The 20,452-nt window shown below is 47.9% G+C and overlaps 4 annotated features.

The window, feature by feature from the left end:
• Window positions 287-789: an enhancer, noted in NCBI's record as "H3K4me1 hESC enhancer chr15:70482961-70483463 (GRCh37/hg19 assembly coordinates)". NCBI's record gives its function as "activates a minimal SCP1, AML or CMV promoter by ChIP-STARR-seq in primed H9 embryonic stem cells {active_cell/tissue: H9 hESC(primed)}" and the evidence as "EXISTENCE:reporter gene assay evidence [ECO:0000049][PMID:30033119]".
• Window positions 3,994-4,494: an enhancer, noted in NCBI's record as "H3K4me1 hESC enhancer chr15:70479256-70479756 (GRCh37/hg19 assembly coordinates)". NCBI's record gives its function as "activates a minimal SCP1, AML or CMV promoter by ChIP-STARR-seq in primed H9 embryonic stem cells {active_cell/tissue: H9 hESC(primed)}" and the evidence as "EXISTENCE:reporter gene assay evidence [ECO:0000049][PMID:30033119]".
• Window positions 9,654-10,237: an enhancer, noted in NCBI's record as "H3K4me1 hESC enhancer chr15:70473513-70474096 (GRCh37/hg19 assembly coordinates)". NCBI's record gives its function as "activates a minimal SCP1, AML or CMV promoter by ChIP-STARR-seq in naive H9 embryonic stem cells {active_cell/tissue: H9 hESC(naive)}" and the evidence as "EXISTENCE:reporter gene assay evidence [ECO:0000049][PMID:30033119]".
• Window positions 10,238-10,821: an enhancer, noted in NCBI's record as "H3K4me1 hESC enhancer chr15:70472929-70473512 (GRCh37/hg19 assembly coordinates)". NCBI's record gives its function as "activates a minimal SCP1, AML or CMV promoter by ChIP-STARR-seq in naive H9 embryonic stem cells {active_cell/tissue: H9 hESC(naive)}" and the evidence as "EXISTENCE:reporter gene assay evidence [ECO:0000049][PMID:30033119]".

Genomic DNA, 20,452 nt, shown 5'->3' with positions numbered 1-20,452 from the left:
GAACTCTGGGAGGGAGTTTGGGGTCCCAGGGGTTTATTAAAGATCTGCACCAGTGAAAGAAAAGGAGAGAAGTTGGATTAAGCCAAAGGAGATTGAAGGCAAACTGCAATGCGGGTTTGACCAAGCCCCAGTCACCTAGCAGGGGGTCATCCTGTGTCTAGCTGAAGTAGCCAGGACTTTCCACTCGCATCCTGCTCAGTCGCCAGATGCAGGCTACCCCAGGGAGGGCATGACTTCAAAGGAGGTGGGTGTCTGCAGCTGAGGTAGACACCCTGAAGGAGCTGACAGCTGGGGCTGCCTGCCTGCTACACTCCCTGCAGATGGGCAGCAGGGCCTTCTCGGGAAGGAGCTCCGAGTGTGTGGACCTACAGCTACCACTGTGCTCTGCAAACAAGGCAGGCATCTTCCATCAGCAGTTCCTAAATGGCTGGCCTCCCAGTGCAGGCCCCACACTGCAGAGTGATCTCACACTCTCCGTAATTAAAGTGGGTTCTATGCTCACCTGGGAACTTGTTAGACATGCAGAATGGATATTGGGCCTTACGTTCCATTTTGAGAACGAAGCTCTAGACCCAGACATCAAGGCCAGCAGTGGTCTGTTTTGGTTGGGAATGATTTTTGTACCTTTTACAAAGAATATGTGACAGAAAGTGTACGGCCCACAAGGCCTAAAATATTTACCAGGTGACCCTTTACAGATAAACTTTGTTAACCCTACTCTAGAAACTGGGAGTTATCTATGCATCTCTGTCTCAGTTTCTTCCTGTCTCCCTCCTGGCCATTCCAAATGGAAATAAAAAAGCATCCCAAGGCAATGGTAGGCAGCCCAGGCTGCTGTTTGGAGCCATCGAGGGCATTGCAGGGACCTTCAGACCTTCTGCCCCCGTCCCGCCATCTCCACAGCTGTGCCACCGAATGCCCGGCAGCACGCCTGCACCGCCGCTCCTCCTTGGCTCTGTCGGGGCTTCTTGTCCCCAGCGTTCCCTTCTCCAATAGGCCTTTGCAGCTTTTTTTCCCCCAACATCCCTGACTCTCTTGTGAAATGCAAATTAGTTAGTATCTAATTACTCACTCGGTGCTGCATGTAGAGCCTTCTCTTGTTAGGGTCCGTCCAACATCTCTCTCATCAGCTGAGAACTCAGCCCATTAGGAAAAATTCCTGTTTGGGGGAAGCAGGCAGTTCCTCGCCCTCTCTCCCTCCCGGACTTGTCAACAACCACCTCAGCCATGGATTCCAGAAACACACCTGCCTGGGTGGGGTAGTTCCACCCACCACTCACTCCAATTACCAGAATCGCTTCTGGGAAGGAATTGTGCCAGGGCTGCACTGGGCTCGGGAATGAGACCCAGCCCCTGCCCTCCAGGGGGCTGCGTGTGTAACCAGGCATGAGCCAGCAGGACTGTGGCTGATGAAATGAGGAACACGGCCTAGGGCATGGTGCAAGCTTTCAACAGCGATGGGCTGAGTTTCAACCTAGGAGGTAGATGGCGGAGAGCTGGAGTCCATGCTAAGCCTTAGCATGCAACCTTTAAGTCATGGAGATGCAGCATGGTACAGGAGGAAGACTGCAGGGCTTCAATCTACCACCTCTCTGCAAGACTCTGGGCCTTGACCCCCCCTAAGCCTCAGTTTCCTTATCTGGGATCTGAAGATAATAGAGCCAGCATGAGGAAAATGGGCCTCTGAAGGTGAAGTGTCAGGCATGGGCTTGGCACCATATAGGTGCTGAGCACGTGTTAATCCCATTTCCTTGGCCTTTGTGTGGCCAGGGGTGGTCCATGACAGATGGAGGTGGAGTTGAATTTCTGTCCAGGGAGTAGCCCCCACCTTGGCTCCTGCCCCACCCTCCCATCTCCTCATAGCCCACAGTTGTTCTCATCAGCTCCATCCTATGCCAGCCAATCCTGGCAAAAGTTGAAAGGCCATTTGTCCACCTGCTACCTGGAAGAAGATCATGCTCCACATGCCTGAGCTCAGGAGGCTTAGCCATGAGAGCTGGACTCCTGCAATCTAGCATTCCAGGGCTCTCCCCACAGAAGCATGCCTCAAGCCCTAGCTTCACCGTGCCCTGGAGACCCTCTGGCCTCAGCAGTTGACCCATGTCTAGCCCGTCCCAGTCCCAATCCAGCCCTGCTACTCTCAACTCAGCTGGCTACAGGCAGCCTAGCCTCTCCACTGCTCTGGTTACTCCCATCCAGACTGAACCCTGCTTTCTGAAACCCCCATCTCTCTAGTGCTTATGGTTCATACGGAACCACCACGCTCTGAATTATCCATGGGCCATTTCTTGGAGAAATGTCATTTATCCATTTCTTGGGACAATGACATTGAAATTGGCTTTCCCAGGCCTACAACAAAGCCAGGTAATGGAGAAATGTCATTTATCCATTTCTTAGTCTGTGTAAGTATGAATGTGGTCTTGTCTCTCCAGCAGACTCTAAGTGCCTTGAAGGAAAAGACCACACCAGACACCCCAAGAAAGCAAGCACAGCACAGTGTTGGGACTGTGGCATGCTGAGCGGACACCTTGGCAGGTGGAATGGAAGACCTGACATTCACCATCGTATGGCTCACTGGTGCCAGATCAGCAAATGTATTTGGTGGAAACTGGAGAGGGTAGGAGGAGAGAAAGAATGAGGACTTATTGAGCACCTATGATGTGCTAAGCTCAGATGCTACTAAACCATTTCAAGCATGTGCTATCATTTAATGCTCACAACAGCCTTGTGAGGTAGAAATTGTTCTCCCCCATTTTACGGTGGGAACCTGGACCCAGAGGTATTTGGATGACTAACCCAAAGTCCTGTCACTACTGAGTGATAGAGCGCAGCTCGAACCCAGACCTCCAGTGTCATGCTCATTCTGATTGGCCAGGTTGCCCAGTGCTCTCTTCCCTCTCACCCCAGCCTGGGTTGGCAAACACAGGCCATTGGTTCCACCTGTTGCTCTGCTCTTGACCTCCAGTAACCTTTGCTCCCTCTTTCCTGGCCAGCATCTTGCTCCTGGCACTGAAAATCTGCACCCCTGGGGAGGCCCAGCCATCCTGCATCTGGAACACTGCTCAGACAACCCTGCCTGGGGTAACCAGTGACCATCCCTTGGGCTCTCGTCAACCAGCTGCTGCTGTGGTAGGCGTCTATGTTCAGTGATGTCAGAGCTAGAAGGCCCTTCGAGGCCCCCCAGGCCCAACCTCACCATTCTACTGATGGGGAAACTGAAGGTCAGAGAGGAAAGTGGCTTGCTCAGGCCTTCAACCAAGCCAGGTCCAGGAGCTAGGTGTCCTGACTCCCGGTCCAGCCCTCATCCTACCACCCCAGCTCAGTTTCACAAATGTGCAGAGAAGACAGAAGAGCCGGCTGTTCTTGGGGCCACACAGAGAGAATGCTTGCTCTCTGTTTCCTTCTGCTTGGTCTCCCCGAGACAGCTATGCAGCTAGAGTAGACCAGTATACTGGCACTGACAGGGCGAGAGTGTGGCAGGAGGAGGTTGGCAAGTCCCATAAATCTTCCTGGAAGAAAGGCCTTGAAGGTGAGTGAGACCTGGCTCAATGCATGAAGGAAGAGGCTTTCTGGGCTGAGGCAAGAGACAGGCTGAGGGGCAGGAGGCAAAGGCCTTGATGGACAGACAGAGGACCCCATGGATGGTATGAACATTCTGGCACAGAGTAGGGATCATGGCTTAGCTGCCCCTTGTTCTTTGCTCTGGGGAATGCCCCTAGTACACCCCGGGCCGTGAAGAACTAAGCCAGTGTTTCCCAAGATGGCTGTTGAGGCACAGCCCCACACCGGCAGGACAGCCCTGGGGGAGGGCAATATTCCCATATCTGGCTCAGCTCCTGCCCCAAGGGAGCTGCCCACACACGTGTCCTCCCCCACCATGTGAGTGGGACCCTGCTAGGAGGCAGCGTGCTGCTTGCCCGTGGCCCCTGGCTCTCCTCCTCCTCCTCTGACCGGGCCTTCTCTGTCTTCTGATGGAAAGACCTCCCTGCCCAGCAGTGTCTGGAGCTCTAGAAGTGTTCAACAAGCCTTAGCTCCGACGCCCAGGCTCTGCCCTAAAGGTTCCCCAGTGTTTAGTCCCTGATCACTCTTCCCTGCCAGCTCCCACAGAAAGCCCAGCCCCAGCAGCAGCTCTCACTCACTCACTCACTCATTCAGTAAGGTGGGGGCCCTCCTGCACTCCTTCCGAGTGCCGGCTGTGGAATCTGGGCAAGCATGCTGGTGGTGAATAGGATGGCCCTGCCCGTGAGGAGCTTGCAGTTGGTGGAACAGAGGAAACATGGATGTAATTTGCTGCAATACAGGCTAGAAAGTGAGGGCTATTGCAAAGTGCTTAAAGGATGGGGGAGATTGTTTTATCTGTGAGACCCGGGGGGCTTCTTAAAGAGGTGGCATCTGAGGACTAGTTAAGCTCCGCTTTACACGACGCTGCTCAGAGCTGCAAAAAAAGCATGATGCATTCGGACGACTTGGTTTGCTAGACTGCTGAGATCCTTGAGAAGCTGGAGATGAAATACGCGGGAACTTGCGGTGAAGGACCTTGGGGGCCAGGAGGGAGTCAGAGAAGGGTTCGAAGCAGGAAATGGTATGACCAGATTTTGGAAATAACCCTCTATGGCTACAGTGTCAAGAACTGGGGGGAGGAGGGTGCAAGGGCAGCTGCTGAAAGACCAGTGAGAAGGTGACCACATGGCCCAGCAGTGAGCAGATGGCCCAGGACAGGGAAGGTTGGATGCAGCTGAGATTTAGCAGGAGGAATCCACAAAATCAACATTTGGATGATGGGGTGGGGGCCAGAGGGGCATCTGTGATGGAAAGTCTGGGTTGAGGCCTGCACTCTGGATGGCTAAAAGTGCCATGACCCTACAGGGAGGCAATGGGCGCAGCTTGGCGAGTTCAGGACAGAGTCAGGACTGAAGACAGTGATTGAGTCATGAGGTGGGAGGGGAAGCAGATGGAGAAGAGGAGTGGCCAGAAAGCCCCTGGGGAGAGACAGCCGCAGGGGTGGAGCCAGGCTTCCCACCCAGCCTGCTCTCCCCTTCTCCCCACAGCCCAGGCCGCTGCCTCAGCCCTGGTTCCCCAGGCAACACCTTGCCCCTTCAGCCCCACTGGGGGTGGCATCCACTCCCCAGGGGAGCTCACAGACCAGTGCCACACCACTGAAGCCATGGCAGCCAGAGGCCTGGAGACCCTCATCCCCCACCTCGCCCCATTGCACTGGCCTCATCTGCCAGCACGCCCTCCCTGGGCACCAAACAGTCCATTCTCTCAGTCCACCCCTACTCCATAGCCACACTTAGCCATCCCTCTGCACTCAATCCACCAAGACTTTTCAAGAACAAGAAGTGCACCTCCATTATTGTATGAAGCTGCTGAGCTGCCAGGGCTTATTTGTGACTGCGCCATAGCCTGGCCTCTCCTGCCTAATGGAATCCCTGTGCAGAGCTGGCACCTCGCACCTTTGCCCATTCCAAGCTCTTCCCTTGTTCTCCACTTCCTCCTAACCTTCCAGGCCACTGCCACCCCTCCTGAGCCCATCCCTTCCAGCCACTCTCAAATTCCTGAACCCATCTCCACTCACTCGGACAATCACTTAAAATCAAGCCTAATACCCCTTTGTGTCTCTCAAAGCACCAGACACCCTGCTGGATGCAAGGGGACCGAACCAAGAGGCACTCCAGGTGACTAAGCCCCATGAAACCCCCACTCCGCTCACTGGGCCTTCCTCCCTGCTTCCTTCCTTCAGTCCATTTGGCCTCCAGGATCTAATCTGGGGGAGTAGGAGAAAGCCGTGAGGGAGAGACAGAAACTATTCCTGGTATTGTTCTAAGGCCACAGCCTGTGGTTGTGGAGGGAAGCGAGGGGGGCTGGGAGATGGGGAGGAGAGGTTAACAAGATTTAAAAAGCCATAATGAGACCGCAGCACAAACCCTGCAATTATGCTCCCAAATTTAATCAAAACAGCTTCCCGCACTGGGCCTGTAACATCTCTAACAGGCCCCATCAAGTTCTGCCTCCCAGCCCATCCCTTGAGAGAGCACAAGGCCCTGAGGTCTTTCTGCAGCACAGGGGCAGGGCCAGCCCCCAGCACAACCCACCCAGCCACCCCAGCTGACAGCAGGCTTATGGGACTTAACTTGGCTTAGATGCACCAGGTCTCCAGGAAGCTCTTCCTCCTCCCTCCTCCTCTCCTTCCCACCACCTTCCCCTCTGCTTCTCACCTCTGCAGCCCACTCCCCTTCATCCAGCCCTGCTCCACTGCCACCTCTCCAACTGAGACCCCTCCACAGCCCTGGCCATCATCTGTGTGCAGGCCCCAGACTCCTTCAGGGCTTCCCCAGGGTGGGGCCCTTTCTTAGACACCAAAAACATACCTGGCCTTGCCCAGATGCAGTGACCTTCTTGACAGCAGAGGGTATTTTTTCCTCTGCATGGTTTGGTTTTGGTCTCCCCTGGCATATGGTAGGTCAATACCTGTAGCAAGGACTGTTCATGCTCACTGTGTGACCACATGCTACCTTTCCCAGACTCTTGTGTGAAAGGGTTGAGACCACGTTGCTAGTTCAGGCCGATGGTCTGTAGCTTCCAGATTGAAGCTAGGAGCCAGCATGTCTTCTTCCTCTCTCTGGCCCTCTGTCCTGGTCATGTATTTCAATGAATGTACCTACAGAAGAAGAAAGCTACTGTGATGGTTAATTTTATGTGTCAACCTGAATGGATCACAGGATGCCCAGATATCAGGTGAAACATGATTTCTGGATGTGACTGTGAGGGTGTTTCTAGAAGAGATTCGCATATGAATTTGTCGACTGAGTGAAGTGCATCTGCCCTGCCTGATGTAGGTGGGTATCATCCAACCCACTGAAGGCCCGAATGGAACAAAGAGGTAGAGGAAAGGAGGACTCGCTCCGCTCTGCCTGACTGCTGAGCTGGGACACTGATCTCCTGCCCTTGACACTCCTAGTTCTCAGGCTTTCAAATGCAGACCGGAATCTATACTATCAGCTCTCTGGCTCTCAGGCCATTGAACTACACCACAGCTTTCCTGGGTCTCCAGCTTGTAGACAACAGATCAAGGGACTGCTCAGCCTCCATAATCATGTGAGCCAGTACCTGATAATAAATCTCTTTATAGATCCTATTTATATGTGTGTGTGTGCCACACACGCGTTTATACTATATATAATAGACAGATCCTATTGATTCTGTTTACCTGGTGTTCCCTAATACAGCTACCCAACCCACATTGGACCATCCATGAATGAGAAATCATCATTATAGGCCGATCGTGGTGGCTCACCCCTATAATTCCAGCACTTTGGGAGGCCAAGTCAGGTGGATAACTTGAGGTCAGGAGTTTGAGACCAGCCTGGCCAACATGGTGATGCCCCCGTCTCTACTAAAATACAAAGATTAGCCGGGTGTGGTGGCGGGCACCTGTAATCCCAGCTCCTTGAGAGGCTGAGGTAGGAGAATCGCTTGAACCCGGGAGGCAGAGGCTGCAGTGAGCCAAGATTATGCCACTGCATTGCAGCCTGGTGACAGAGAGAGACTCTATGAAAGAAAGAAAGAGAGAGAGAGAGAGACAGAAAGAAAGAAAGAAAGAAAGAAAGAAAGAAAGAAAGAAAGAAAGAAAGAAAGAAAGAAAGAGGAAGGAAGGAAGGAAGGAAGGAAGGAAGGAAGGAAGGAAGGAAGGAAGGAAGGAAGGAAGAAAGAAAGAAAGAAAGAAAAACATAATCATCATTATAGTGCTAAGCCACTGAGATGCCAGGGCTTATTATTCCTGCACCATAGCCCAACCTATCCTGACTAACACAAACCTGTCATTGAGAGACTAATGAAAATATTTTCAAGTCACTCCCCAGTCAAATGGAAGAGAGTAGAATGGCACATCTGGCCCTGAGTCAGGAAATTTGAGCTCTAGTTCTATTAATATCTCTGTCAACCGATTGCTGTGTAAATTGGGCAAGCCTCTTAGCCTCTCTGGACCTCAGTTTCCTCATCATCTGTCATGTGGTTGAGTCACATGAAATGATATTATTCATTAAGACAAGAAATACAGGAAGAGGTTCAGGTTTGTGGGGAAAGACCTGGGTTCCATTTGGTACCTGTTGAGTGTTTCATAGGCATACAGTAGGTTCTGGGGCAAAGAATAAAAACGGGGCTGGAGATATGGATTTGAGGTCATAGAGAAAGATGGTGGCTAAAGATGTTATGAATGAGGTAGCTGGCAGGGAGGACAATCAGGAAAATAAGGAAAGAGGGCTCTTTGAAAAGAAAAAAACGAAGAAGCTGAAGTCCAGAGACATGAAGTAACTGGCCCGAGATTACACGGTAGGCTGGTACCAGAGGTGGCGCCAGATCTGGAGCTTTAGCCCCAGACTCCAGGGCTCCATCCCTTGTCAGCACAGAGAAGCTGGGAGCCTGGGGATGGTAAGGCATATCCCAGTGAATGCTGGGATGCTGATCAACTGTGCGTCTTGGGTCACTTCTATGGGAATCGGCTTCCCTGTCTGTATAATAAGAATTTGGTTTTGATATAGTATGGGGCTTTGTGATTTATAAACTACCTGCATAATCATTATCTCATCTGGCTCTTAAAATTGCCCTTTGAGGAAGTCAGGGTACACAGGTAGATCAAGGCTCAGAGAGATAAAGTGTGCCCAGATCTCTTGACTATAGGTCAGGTCCCCTCACACTGAACTCCCTTTTCAAGGACCACGAACAGGGTCCCCCTCTGCCCAGACATTGCAGACAAAGGCCAATCCCTGCAAGAAGCACCATCCACCCACCCACCCCTTTCTCTCCCTTGTTTCGATTCACTCTCCCCAAGACCCTTTATTTCTATAAGTCACAAGTCATGGGTATCCCTTGCTCACTGGAAGTAACCACATTTCCTAGGATTTTGCTGATGGTTCTGGGACGATGGGAAGATGATTGGGGGCCACCTGGAGGGATAAGATGACCATGGAGTTTCTCAGCCTTGCTGGCAGGGGAAGGGGATGGCTCAAGGATGTTGGTTCATCATGAAGCAAAGCTTGAGAAAGGGTGGTCTGACCCCAGACAGGGATTTTAGAGTCTGCAATTTCTGGGTTCTAGAGGGGAAGATGGGTAACTGTTCTCTGAGGCAACATGAAGGATTTAAGGCATTTTGTCAACCAAAGGCCAAGCTTTTCTATAAGAGCCTATTCTGGGAACAACTCAAAGAAGATTCCAGTCCATTCCAACTCATCCCATCCACTCATCCAACAAATATTGATTGAAGGTATTTCCGCCTCTGCCCTCGAGGGCTGCCAGTAGAGCAGGGAGGAGACAAGAGGGAGAGCAGAATGCAGAATTTCCACCTAGAAGACCCAAAGTCAAAGCCTGATCAACCAGTTCCAGCTGTGTGGCCTTGGGCTAATTACTTGGCTTCTCTCAACCTCATCTGCAAAATAGAGCTAATAATACCACCCAACTCCCTATGTCCCAGGGTGGCTTTGAAAATCAAGAGATCTTCTTTGACAGAGTGATTTGTAGGGTGTTACGAAGAGGATAAATCAAGCACTTATTTCCTAAGGATAAAGGTAGGCAGCCACAAGTGCTGCTGGAGAGGCCCAGATAAGGGGTTATGAAGGCCCAGAGCAAGTGGACGAGGGGAAGGAGTTGGGACAAGGGAAGGACTGAAGAAAAGAGGTAAGCTATTGAAATTAAAGGATGGGCACAGTCTCAAAAGGCAGGAATGGCAGACAAAGGATATTTCAGCAGAGAACAGAGCAAGCCAAGATATAGAGGCCAGAAAGAAGAGAGCAGGTTCCAGAGACAGCACAAAAAAGCCATCAATATCTGCAGGGGGCCTGCGGGAGATAACATTGCAACTGTATTTAGAGGAGATGACAGAGTGGCTTGAACACTAGGCGGAGACATTTGGACTTTATTTGGCAGGTTGTGTGTGTGTGTGTGTGTGTGTGTGTGTGTGTGTGTGTGTGTGTGTGTGTGCGCAGCACGGTGGTTTTCACTGTGGACCCTGGACAACCAGCAGCATACCACTTAGGCACTTGGTAAAAATGCAGACTCCGGGCCCCGCCCCAGTCCTCCTGAAGCCGACACTCTGAGTGTGGGGCCCAGAAATCTGTGCTTATCAGGCCGTCCAAGAGATGCAAATGCCCTCCATGTGCGAGGCCCACCCTTGTAGCAGAGTCTGTCGGTGCCCTGCCCTGGCCCTTTGTCTTGCCAGCTTCCGTCTGCCACCGTCAGAATCCCTTCAGCTGGAACCTAACTGTGGCCACTGGAGTCTGCGCTCCCCAGGCATGAAAAGACTGGTAGTGCCAGGAATTAACAACCCTGGGGAGCAGCCCTCACCCAGTGATTGGCAAGAGCTCGTGAGTCATAGCCCAGCCCCCTGGCCCTCAAATGGCACGGCTCTGAGATCGAAGTTCTAGACTCTTTCCTGGGATTTCCCAGGAGGGTTGAGCCCTGGCACCCACAGTGGCCACTGGCTTGAGAATACCCCCGTCTGTACTGGGCACCCTCCCTCTCACTCTCACTTCTCTTCTCCCCACTGGTGTTTTCTGGGACATCTCTCAAACGAACTACTTGCCCTTGAGTCCTTGACTCCGCTTTTGGAAGAACCCAAACCAAGATCATTTGTATGTGGATGCACGTGTGTGCACGTGGAGAGGGTCAGCGTCAGGACGGGTAGAGGCGGGGAGTTGCTGACTTCCTGGCTGGGGAATGGCACTGGTAGACGAAGATTCTGGTCGCGGAGGCAGAGTGGTTTGGAGATCAAAGACAGGAGGAAAGAGCACTGTTGAGACGTTGGCAAGAACAAGGCAGGTACCTGAGGACTTGGCGAGGGAGGGCAGTGAGGAGAGGACCTCCTCCTAAAGCTAAACTGCCAAGCCTGGGCTATGACCCACTATAGGGTGTGAAAAAGCAAAGGGGGCCAAACCTCACACCAGCTCCTTATTATTATCCCATTTCTTGGACAAGGAAACTGAGGCTTGAGGATGAGGTGACTTGCCCTGGGCCAGGCCTCGGAGCTAGTCCAAGATCTGAGATCAGAACCGAAGCCTGCCTGGCCAGAGCCTGGTGTTTTCTTGCTGCCTTTGGTAATACAGGCTCCAGGCCAGTCAGTTCCCTGGAGCCACACTGCTCCTTACTGCTGCTTTGATTTTTGTACCTCTGAAGATTCGGGTGTTAACTCTGGACAGAAAGGGGCCAATTGTCATCCAGCAAGGGTCTCTCACACACCCACAAGCGTTTCCTCAGAACTCTAGCCCATCCCTCACGAGAAAAACCAAGTAGCGTCTGCAGCCAGGTGGCCCAGGTTTGCAATCTAGCTCTTCTGTGCCATGGCTGTAAATCCGGGCAATTTACTTAGCATCTTGGTGCCTTGATTTTCTCATCTTTAAAGCCAGGATAAAGATGTGTCTCCTGAAACTCTTAGGCAAGTCCGATTGTTGGTGTTGCTGTTGTTGGTCTTGCTCAGGTTGTTCATTATGCTGCCAAGTTTGGAAAACAAAGGGTCAAACAAAACTCCTGATTCTGTCACTTGTTTTTTATCACTCAACTCATAAAGTGGCAGAGCTGGGATTTCATCCTAGGATTGGCTGACACCACAGCCCCAGTGCTGAACTCAGCCCCCAGATGCTATGAGAGGGTAACATAATTAAATGCCAAAAACAATGGAAGAGTGTGGTTTGGCTCATTGCTTTTCTTTCAACATCTACCTGTTGGCACAGTCCCAGAGGGTGCAAGTTGAGGAATGCATTTCTATAAGTGCAGCCATTTTAGGGCCAGAGAAACAATGCCTTTGAGTAGAAATTAGGTCAAGGAATTTAGGTTCTGGTGCTGGCTCTACTGCTTACTCACCTCTGTGACCTTAGGCAGGTCCTTTTCTCCTTAGGGCCTCAGTTTCATCTTCTGTAAAATGGGTACACAAATCCCTTCCTTTTTCACAAGGTTGTGGGGAGACTTGATCAAGAAGCATTTCTTATTTGGCTCATGCCAGATGCTAGTGGGGAGAAAGATGTGTGGGAAATGGCCCCTGGCCGGGAAGCTTGTGGTTCTCCCATGGAGAAAGAGGTGTCAGAGGAGAGGGAAAAAAAGGAAAAGGAAAAAGGGGGAAAAGAGGAACAATGTTTATTGAGCACTTACTATGTGTTGGGTGCTGAGCTGAGGGCTTTACCCACATGTGATTTCCACAACTGCCTTGTGAGGTTGAGATATTATTCCTATTTTACAGAAGAGGAAAATGAGTCTGGGGAGGAGAAAGATAAGTTGTTGGTATTGGTGGAGCTGAGAATTAGATTCCAGTTGGTCTCCAAAACATGGGCCCTTTCTCCCATGCCACACTCCTTCTCCACTCAGTTCAACAGATGGGGGTGAACCCTTCTCGGAGGCCTAGGACCCTGGGGGAGGATGAAACCACTGCAAAATGGTGTGACAGGTATAAAAATATAAGCATTAGATGCCATGGTAACTTACAGAATCTCTCCAATGAGGCACAAAGTCTGCATAGGGGAAGAGATACTTGACCTGGGTTTTGAAGGATGAGTAGAAGTTTTTCAGACAAAGAAAATATGGTCCTTCAGAACAAGGGAAATTGTATGTCTAAGGCAAGCAGATGTTGAACTGTTTGCTCCTTGAAGAACTGCAAATGGCTCTCAATTACTGAGAGATGGCAAAGAGAAGTGGAGAAGACATATCTCACCAGCAATTCAGCAGCGGTGTGACTTTGAGCAAGTCACTTAACCTTTCTGAGCCTCAGTTTTCTATTTTATTAAACGAAGCTGGCAATGCCTAATTCATAAGGTCATTAGGTTTGGATGAGATAAATGTAGAAATACTTTACACATATTGCTCTTATTGAATTCTTATAACCCTAGGAGCTGAGCTGGATGCCAGTACTATCCCATTTTTTGTGGAGAATCAGAGAGGGAAAGAACTTGCCCAAGGGCACACAGCCAGAGATGGCAAGTCCAGGATTCAAACCCAGGCAGCCTCATTCCAGATCTTGCCTTCTTAACAATCTGTTATATTGACACAAAAATCCAAAGTAAAATACTAGCAAAGCAAAAGCAGCTTTAAATGAAAACATGAATAGGCCATGATCAGGTAATTTTTATTCCTGGAATGTGGACATGATTTAATATTAGAAAACCTGCTAATATAAGACATCATATCAATAAGTTAAATGAGAAACACCATACAATTATTTTTAAAAGAATAGAAAAGAGGCTGGACACGGTGGCTCATGCCTGTAATCCCAGGACTTTTAGAGGCCAAGGCGGGCATATCACTTGAGGCCAGGAGTTCAAAGCCAGCCTGGGCAACATGGTGAAACCCCATCTCTACTAAAAAATACAAAAGTTAGCCAGGTATGGTGGCGCACCCCTGTAGTCCCAGTTACTCAGGAGGCTGAGGCATGAGAATCATTTGAACCACGGAGGTGGAGGTTGCAGTGAGACAAGATAGCACCACTGCACTCCAGCCTGGGTGACAGACCAAGACTCTTTCTCAAAAAAAAAAACAAACAAAAAAAAACATAGAAAAGAAGATTCAATAAAATGTTACATAAAGAACTCATTTAAAAAACCTGTAAGTAAACTAGAAATAAGACACTTTCCTACCTTGATTAAAACAAAAACAGAAACCTTTCTCAAATCAGCCAACATACTACCTAGTGAGAAACCAGAAGTATTCCATCAAAATGTAAAAAAAATCAATAATATATATTAACTTAATAGGGATTATTACTCCCATTATTACTTAAATACTCCCATTATGTAACACTATTCTGTGGGCCTCAGCAAATATAATACAATTAGACATGAGAAGATATGAGGGATAGCAAACAGAAGGGAGGAGATACAATTGTCAGATAGCATACTTTTGCCTACCTAAAAAATTTCTCAAAACACAAACCCAAAAAACCTATTAGAATAATAATACTCAAATTCTACTAATACTAAATGCAAAATAAATATATATGTACAGTATACTTTTTAAAATTACTTTTTCCATGTACCAACAAGAACAAGTAAGAGCATAACATTTGGAAAAGAAGATACCATTGACAGTAGCCACAAATATTGTAAATGTGAATTACCTTAATAGTAAATGAGCAGGACAACATGGACAAATAATAAAACATTTCAGAGATATAAAGAAGACTTAAATAAATGGGTGATGCAACATATTCTCAGAGGAGAAGGCCTATTATAAGTCTTCTTTTTTTTTTTTTTTTTTTTTTGAGACACAGTCTCACTCTGTCGCCCAGGCTGAAGTGCAGTGGTGCGATCTTGGCTCATTGCAACCTCTGCCTCCCAGGTTCAAGCAATTCTCCTGCTTCAGCCTCCCAAGTAGCTGGGATTACAGGTGTGCGCCACCACACTTGGCTAATTTTTGTATTTTTAGTAGAGACGGGGTTTCATCATGTTGGCCAGGCTGGTCTTGAACTCCTGACCTCAGGTGATCCACCTGCCTCAGCCTCCCAAAATGCTGGGATTACAGACATGAGCCACCACACCCGGCCCATAAGTCTTCTTATAATAATTATTATAAGACTTCTAACTATTATAAGACATATTATAATATTATAATGATGTTCATTCTTCCCCAGATTAATGTATAAATGTAATGCAATTTTTTTAAACTATGGAAATCTAGGCCTTGATCAAGTTATTCTAAATTTCTAAATTATTCTAATTTTCATCTGGAAAAAATGAAGAGATGAAGGTAGCCAAGAAGATTTTGAGAATTAAGTGAAATGAGAGGAGACTGTCCCTGCAAAAAAATATTATAATACAAGGTTATAATCCTTATAGAAACCAGTATGGCTGCAGCGCAAAAATTATTAGATAAGTCAATGAAAGAGGAAAAAGAAAATTAGCCTAACAGCAGAGCTTAGGACATAAACATGCTAGGTACATATGTAGAGTCAGCAGATAATAAAATGGCAGCTCCTAGCAGCAAGGAAAGAAAAAAATTATGGATTAACTGGTAATAAGGCAATTGGTTAACAATTTAGAAAATGAAATAAGTTTAGATCTTCACGTCATACTTGATTCCAAAATAAATTACAGAGGATTAAAGAGCTAAACATAAAAAGCAAAGCCATAAAAATCTAGAAGAAAGCAAAGATAAATATTGGCTCTTAAAATGCAGTGAAACAAGCTCTAGAAGGATAAAAGACATGAAAGTAAGAAAGATAAAGAAAAATTAATACCTTTGACCAAAGAAAAATTGAAATATTTCAAATTCTCATAAACATAATAAAGTAAACTAAAAAGCCTCATTACAAACTTGAAAACATTTGTAATAAAAAGAAAGATTGATCTGAATATATAGAGTCAGTCAAATTGATAAGAAAACAACTAGAATGCCAATGGAAAAATCAACAAAATATACATGGAAAATTCACAAGATAAATGCAAATTAATGACCACAAAAACACAAACAAATAAAAATGTGCCATAAATAATTTTTAAGTCATTTTTAAACTATTAAGTTAGCAAAAACTTCAAAAAAGTAATATTACTCTATGTGGACACAGGTATAAACTAACAGCACCTTACATTAGAAAGCAATTTGGTGCTACATTTTAAGAACCCTGCCCCCAAAAAATCTTTTGACACAGTAAGTCTCCTTCTAGGAATCTAATCCAAGGAAATTGTCAGAATTGGGGGCAAAGATATATATATGTCACACAATGCTTGTCACAGATTTATAATAGCAAAATTTCAAAAACCACATAAATGTCCATTAACATGACACTGCAGGAGAATGGTTTAATTAATTATGATATAGTCACACATGGAATATTATATAGTCTTTTACAATAATGCTTGTGAAGAATATTTAAAGACATATAAAGAGGAAAGGCTGGCTGGGCACGGTGGTTCACGCCTGTAATCCCAGCACTTTAGGAGGCCGAGGCAGGTGGACCACTTGAGGTCAGGAGTTCGAGACCAGCCTAGCCAATATGGTGAAACCCCATCTCTACTAAAAATACAAAATTAGCAGGGCACGGTGGTGCCTGCCTGTAATTCCAGCTACTCAGGAGGCTGAGGCAGGAGAATCACTTGAACCTGGGAGGCAGAGGCTGCACTGAGCAGAGATCATGACACTGCACTCCAGCCTGGGTGACGGAGTGAGACACTGTCTCAAAAAAAAAAAAAGGAAAGGAAACAATAAAATATTTGGTGAAAAAATAAATTTTATAACAATAGCAATAAAATTTTCTAATATTTTGACAAAACAAATACTTCAAGGATCATGAAATTTTAAAATTATTGTTCTTATGTCTGTTTGTATTTTTTTAGATTTTTAACAATAAACACAGTCATTTATTTATTTAAAGCATTTAAGATTACAGCCGGGCATGGTGGCTCACACCTGTAACCCCAGCACTTTGGGAGGCCAAGGTGGAAGGATCACCCGAGGTCAGGAGTTTGAGACCAGCCTGGCCTACATGGCGAAACCCCATCTCTACTAAAAATACCAAAATTAGCCAGGCATGGTGGCAGGTGCTACTCGGGAGGCTGAGGCAGGAGAATCACTTGAACCGGGGAGGCGGAGGTTGCAGTGAGCCAAGATTGCGCCACTGCACTCCAGCCTGAGCGAGACTCTGTCTCCAAAAAAAAAAAAAAAAAAAAAGATTACACCAGGCCTGAAATGAAATCATGTGATAAGGGATAAGAAGGCACTTTGACAAGTCCAGAGTTCTCTACGGCTTGTGTTATTTTTACTAGAAACCCCCTGGTGACTTAACAAGTGTCTAGGAGAGACCCTCCTGAGTTGTCACTCACACACAGGCAATTCTGGCTTCAGGAGCACGCCACAGCACATGGATCGGAAACCACCTTGGCTGCTGAGAGGACAGCTGGCTTGACTTGGCTGTTCCTCAATGTCTTCCCTCTGCGTCTGCTCCAGGCTTGTTTGCTCTCTCTGTAGAGGCAACATCACTGCTGGTATCATTATCTTTTCAGGATGAAACAGAGTTCTCACACACACACGTACACACCCCTTCAGTGACCAGGCAGCTTCAGCCAGACTCCTGTATCTTTCATAAGACAGATAAACCTGGAGGTTCAAAGTCTTTCATTCGTTCCCCCTTGCTACCATCTAGTCAAGCTTTTGTCCTGCTCTGAATCTATGTGTCTCTACCTGGCTACATCCTTTGTTACCTGGTTGCTGCCTCTAATTTTCTAAGCTTGGGGAGGAGGAAAGAGGAGGAGGTAGACCAAGGTTGTAGTCAGGGTCTGCTACCAATTGAATGTATGGGTGACTGGGGGCAAGTTATTTCCCCTCTTGGATGCTCACAGTCCTCATCTGGAAAATTGACCAGTTGGATGAAACCATCTCTGAGGACCTCTCCAATACCCATGTGTTCACAGGTAAATTTCTCAGGGGAGGTAGAGATTTGGCTCTCCCTTGTAGGGAACAAGAGGTACATAAAGGTCCATGTCCAGGAGGTGGATTGCGGTGATGTTTGTGATATGGGGATGTGTAGGTGGCCTAGATGTTCCTCATGCAGAAAAGTTAAGGAGAATATGGTAAGTGCATATTCCAGAAGACTCTAGCAACTGGAAGCCAACACTAGATGTACATTGAAAAGATGAATAGCACTCCAGGACACAGCATTTCATGGAAAAGTAAGAAGCAATAAGATCAGTAGCCCCTATGCCAATGCATCTGACTGTGCTGGTGTGGAGAAAGAAAGCAGGGGCTTTGCCAATACACTTGGCATGGAAAGGGAGAGACCCTAGACTCACTGTGAACTCTTGTCTTACGAAATCCCTCCTTTGGCTCTCAGAAACAAGTTTGTTTATTTGTTCGCAAGCTCTTCTCCCAAAGACACAAATCTGATCAGAAGCTGTGCTCCATTCAACAGGAGAATCTGGGGTGACAATATAATACTGGCTAGAAATATTTTGAGTTGTTCTGTGAATCTCACATCGGGTACTTATTTCACTGGACTTCTCTGTTTCAGTTTGTCTTTGCTCCTAAAGGAGCTACTTGGAAAGGTGCTTCTTGTCCTTCCAGCTATACCTGCCTCCTACGCCCATCTTGATACTTACCCAGCATGCTCTCCCTTTCTCTCCCCAGAAATCCATCCTATTAGACCAATTCCCTAAGGAGGGAAAACATCTTGGGCCCTCCTGGGCGGAGGCCTTCAAGGTTCTCATCTGTTGAGACATGGACAAGATTTCTGAAGGGGAAAGGCAGAGAGGACTTAGAAGGAGATGGCAGGAGAGCACCAAAGGCAAACATGGCTGACTGCGCTGTAAGCCCAAGGGCAGCCCCAGGAACAGAAGGAAAAACCAGCCCTGCTGTCATGCCTGGCTTCCAAGACTCGGGGCTGCCATCTCATGTGTGTCTAATGTTAATGGGCTTAAAAGTGCCAGCCTTGCTCATGAGTTAATGTTCCCTTAAAAGCAGTTTGGACCAGGACAGCAAAAGCACTTCAAGAAGTCTCTGGGCAAGAAATCTCTGGGAGGGAAGAAAGAGGAAAAGGTTATTCAAATAATAGGTAGAGCCGTAGGGAGAAAAAATGATGACTTAAGAAAGGAGAGAACATTTGCATATTCCCAGAAGTAGAATGACTAGGTCAAAGGGGAGGAGAATCTGTAGAGTGCATCCTATCTATGGTGCAAGCGCTTTCTTAAAAGATGTAATAATTCCAAATGCTACCAGCAGGAGTTGGGTATACCAGTTTCACCACTACTATCTTGTCAGCTTTTGGTGGTGGTGTTCTCAATTTGTTTTTGCTCCTTTGGTAGACAAGCAGTCAGTCCTTCTTCCTCCATTTTTTCCATTCAGCAAGCTTTCACTGAACACCTACTAGGTCTTGAGTGCTTGATTTGTTATGGGAAGTACTGAGATGGCAAGACAGGGCCCCCTTTCTGAGCAAGTGCACACTTTGGCTAAGGAGGCCGAGGGAATGAATATGCCCAGGTAGGGGAGCAATGCACAGTCAGGACCAGAACAGGGAAGGGTGGAGCCCAGGCCCAGATATGGCCCAGGCCAGACTCTGCTCCCAGGCTCTCCTCCCTGGCTCAAGGGCTCCAAGGCTTGAGAGAGCTTGCAGGAGCACCTGCCACATCTGCAGGCTTGAGTTTCTTCAGGCTCCAGCTCACCCAGAGGCAGCCTGACAGTACCTTCTGCGAGAAAACCAGGGCCTCCCAAGTTCTGGAGACTCATTCCCAGCTGAAAGAGGGGGTGCAGAGAGCCATGGGCTGGGAGCCATGAAACTGAATTCTCCTCTTAGCTCTGCCACTGACAGTTGCTAGGTGGCCTTGGGCAAGCCTTCCTTCCCTTCTCTGAGCTTCAGTCTCTTACAGAGGGGGAAGGTGGAATGGGTAGAGAGGGTTATGCCTGCCTGCACACGTCTGGTTACTTGTGCCCTCCGCTTTGGGAAGAAAGCCTTCTCAAACACATCAGCCAGTAAACTACCATCCAGACAGTCCCAGATTCAAATGAATAGACTGTCTATCTCTTCACTGTAAACCAAGGGAGATTGTTTCCAGAGGAAAGATGTTCAAGGGGGCCTTTCTAAGAAGTATTGCCTGAGAAGAGCAAGCTGAAGACAGACAGACCTGTTTGTCGATGACTTACTACGTGCTAGTTGCTAGTTCCCTGTAGGGGACTCTTGCACGTGTTATCTTTAATCCCACCACAACCCTTGGAGAGAGCCATTCTTATCCACATCTTGCAGATAAGAAAACAGAGGCTCCGAGATTAAATAACTTGTCTGGGGCCCTGCAGGCAGAAAGTGGCAGATAAGATACACACACAGTTCATCTGACCCCAAAGCCGTGCTCTTTTCTAAGCCAAGAGACCAGGTCAGATGCTGAGCAGGCAGAATCCGGCCCACAAATGTGTGTTGTTTGGTCCAAGTGAGGCTTTAAAAATTGGAAATTTTTACAGGAATTCAGCTTCTGGATTAGAAAATTGGAAAATCTGGCAACACGGAGTTCTTGTTCCACATGGCAACAATAAGCTGGAGCTTCCGGAGGCTGAGACCTTTGGACAAGACTCTCTAGTCAGCCTCGGTCCACTCCAATTTTGCAACTGGCCCACCTCACTTTTTTCTTTTTTTTTCTTTTCTTTTTTTTTAGGGGGGGCTGGGGAGGACAGGGTCTCGCTCTGTCACCCAGGCTGAAGTGCAGTGGCACAATCATAGCTCACTGCAGCCTCTGCCTCCTGGGCCCAAGTGATTCTCCTGCCTCAGCCTCCTAAGTAGCTGGGACCACAAGTGTAGGTCACCATACTAGGGTCTCACTGTGGCTGGTCTCGAACTCCTGGGCTCAGACTCCGGGGCTCAAGTGATCCTCCAGCTTCAGACTCCCGAAGTGCTGGAATTACAGGTGGGAGCCACCACACAGACCCTCCCTTCCTCTTGTATATTACTACTTGCTGTACCCTCCAGGCAGTGCACCTGGAACCCCAGGCCTGAAGGAATAGTCTT

Source organism: Homo sapiens, chromosome 15 (genome assembly GCF_000001405.40).
Source record: "Homo sapiens chromosome 15, GRCh38.p14 Primary Assembly".
Taxonomy (NCBI): Eukaryota; Metazoa; Chordata; class Mammalia; order Primates; family Hominidae; genus Homo; species Homo sapiens.
The sequence above is the reverse complement of the archived record's forward strand: the minus strand, read 5'-3'. Positions and strand labels throughout refer to the sequence as shown.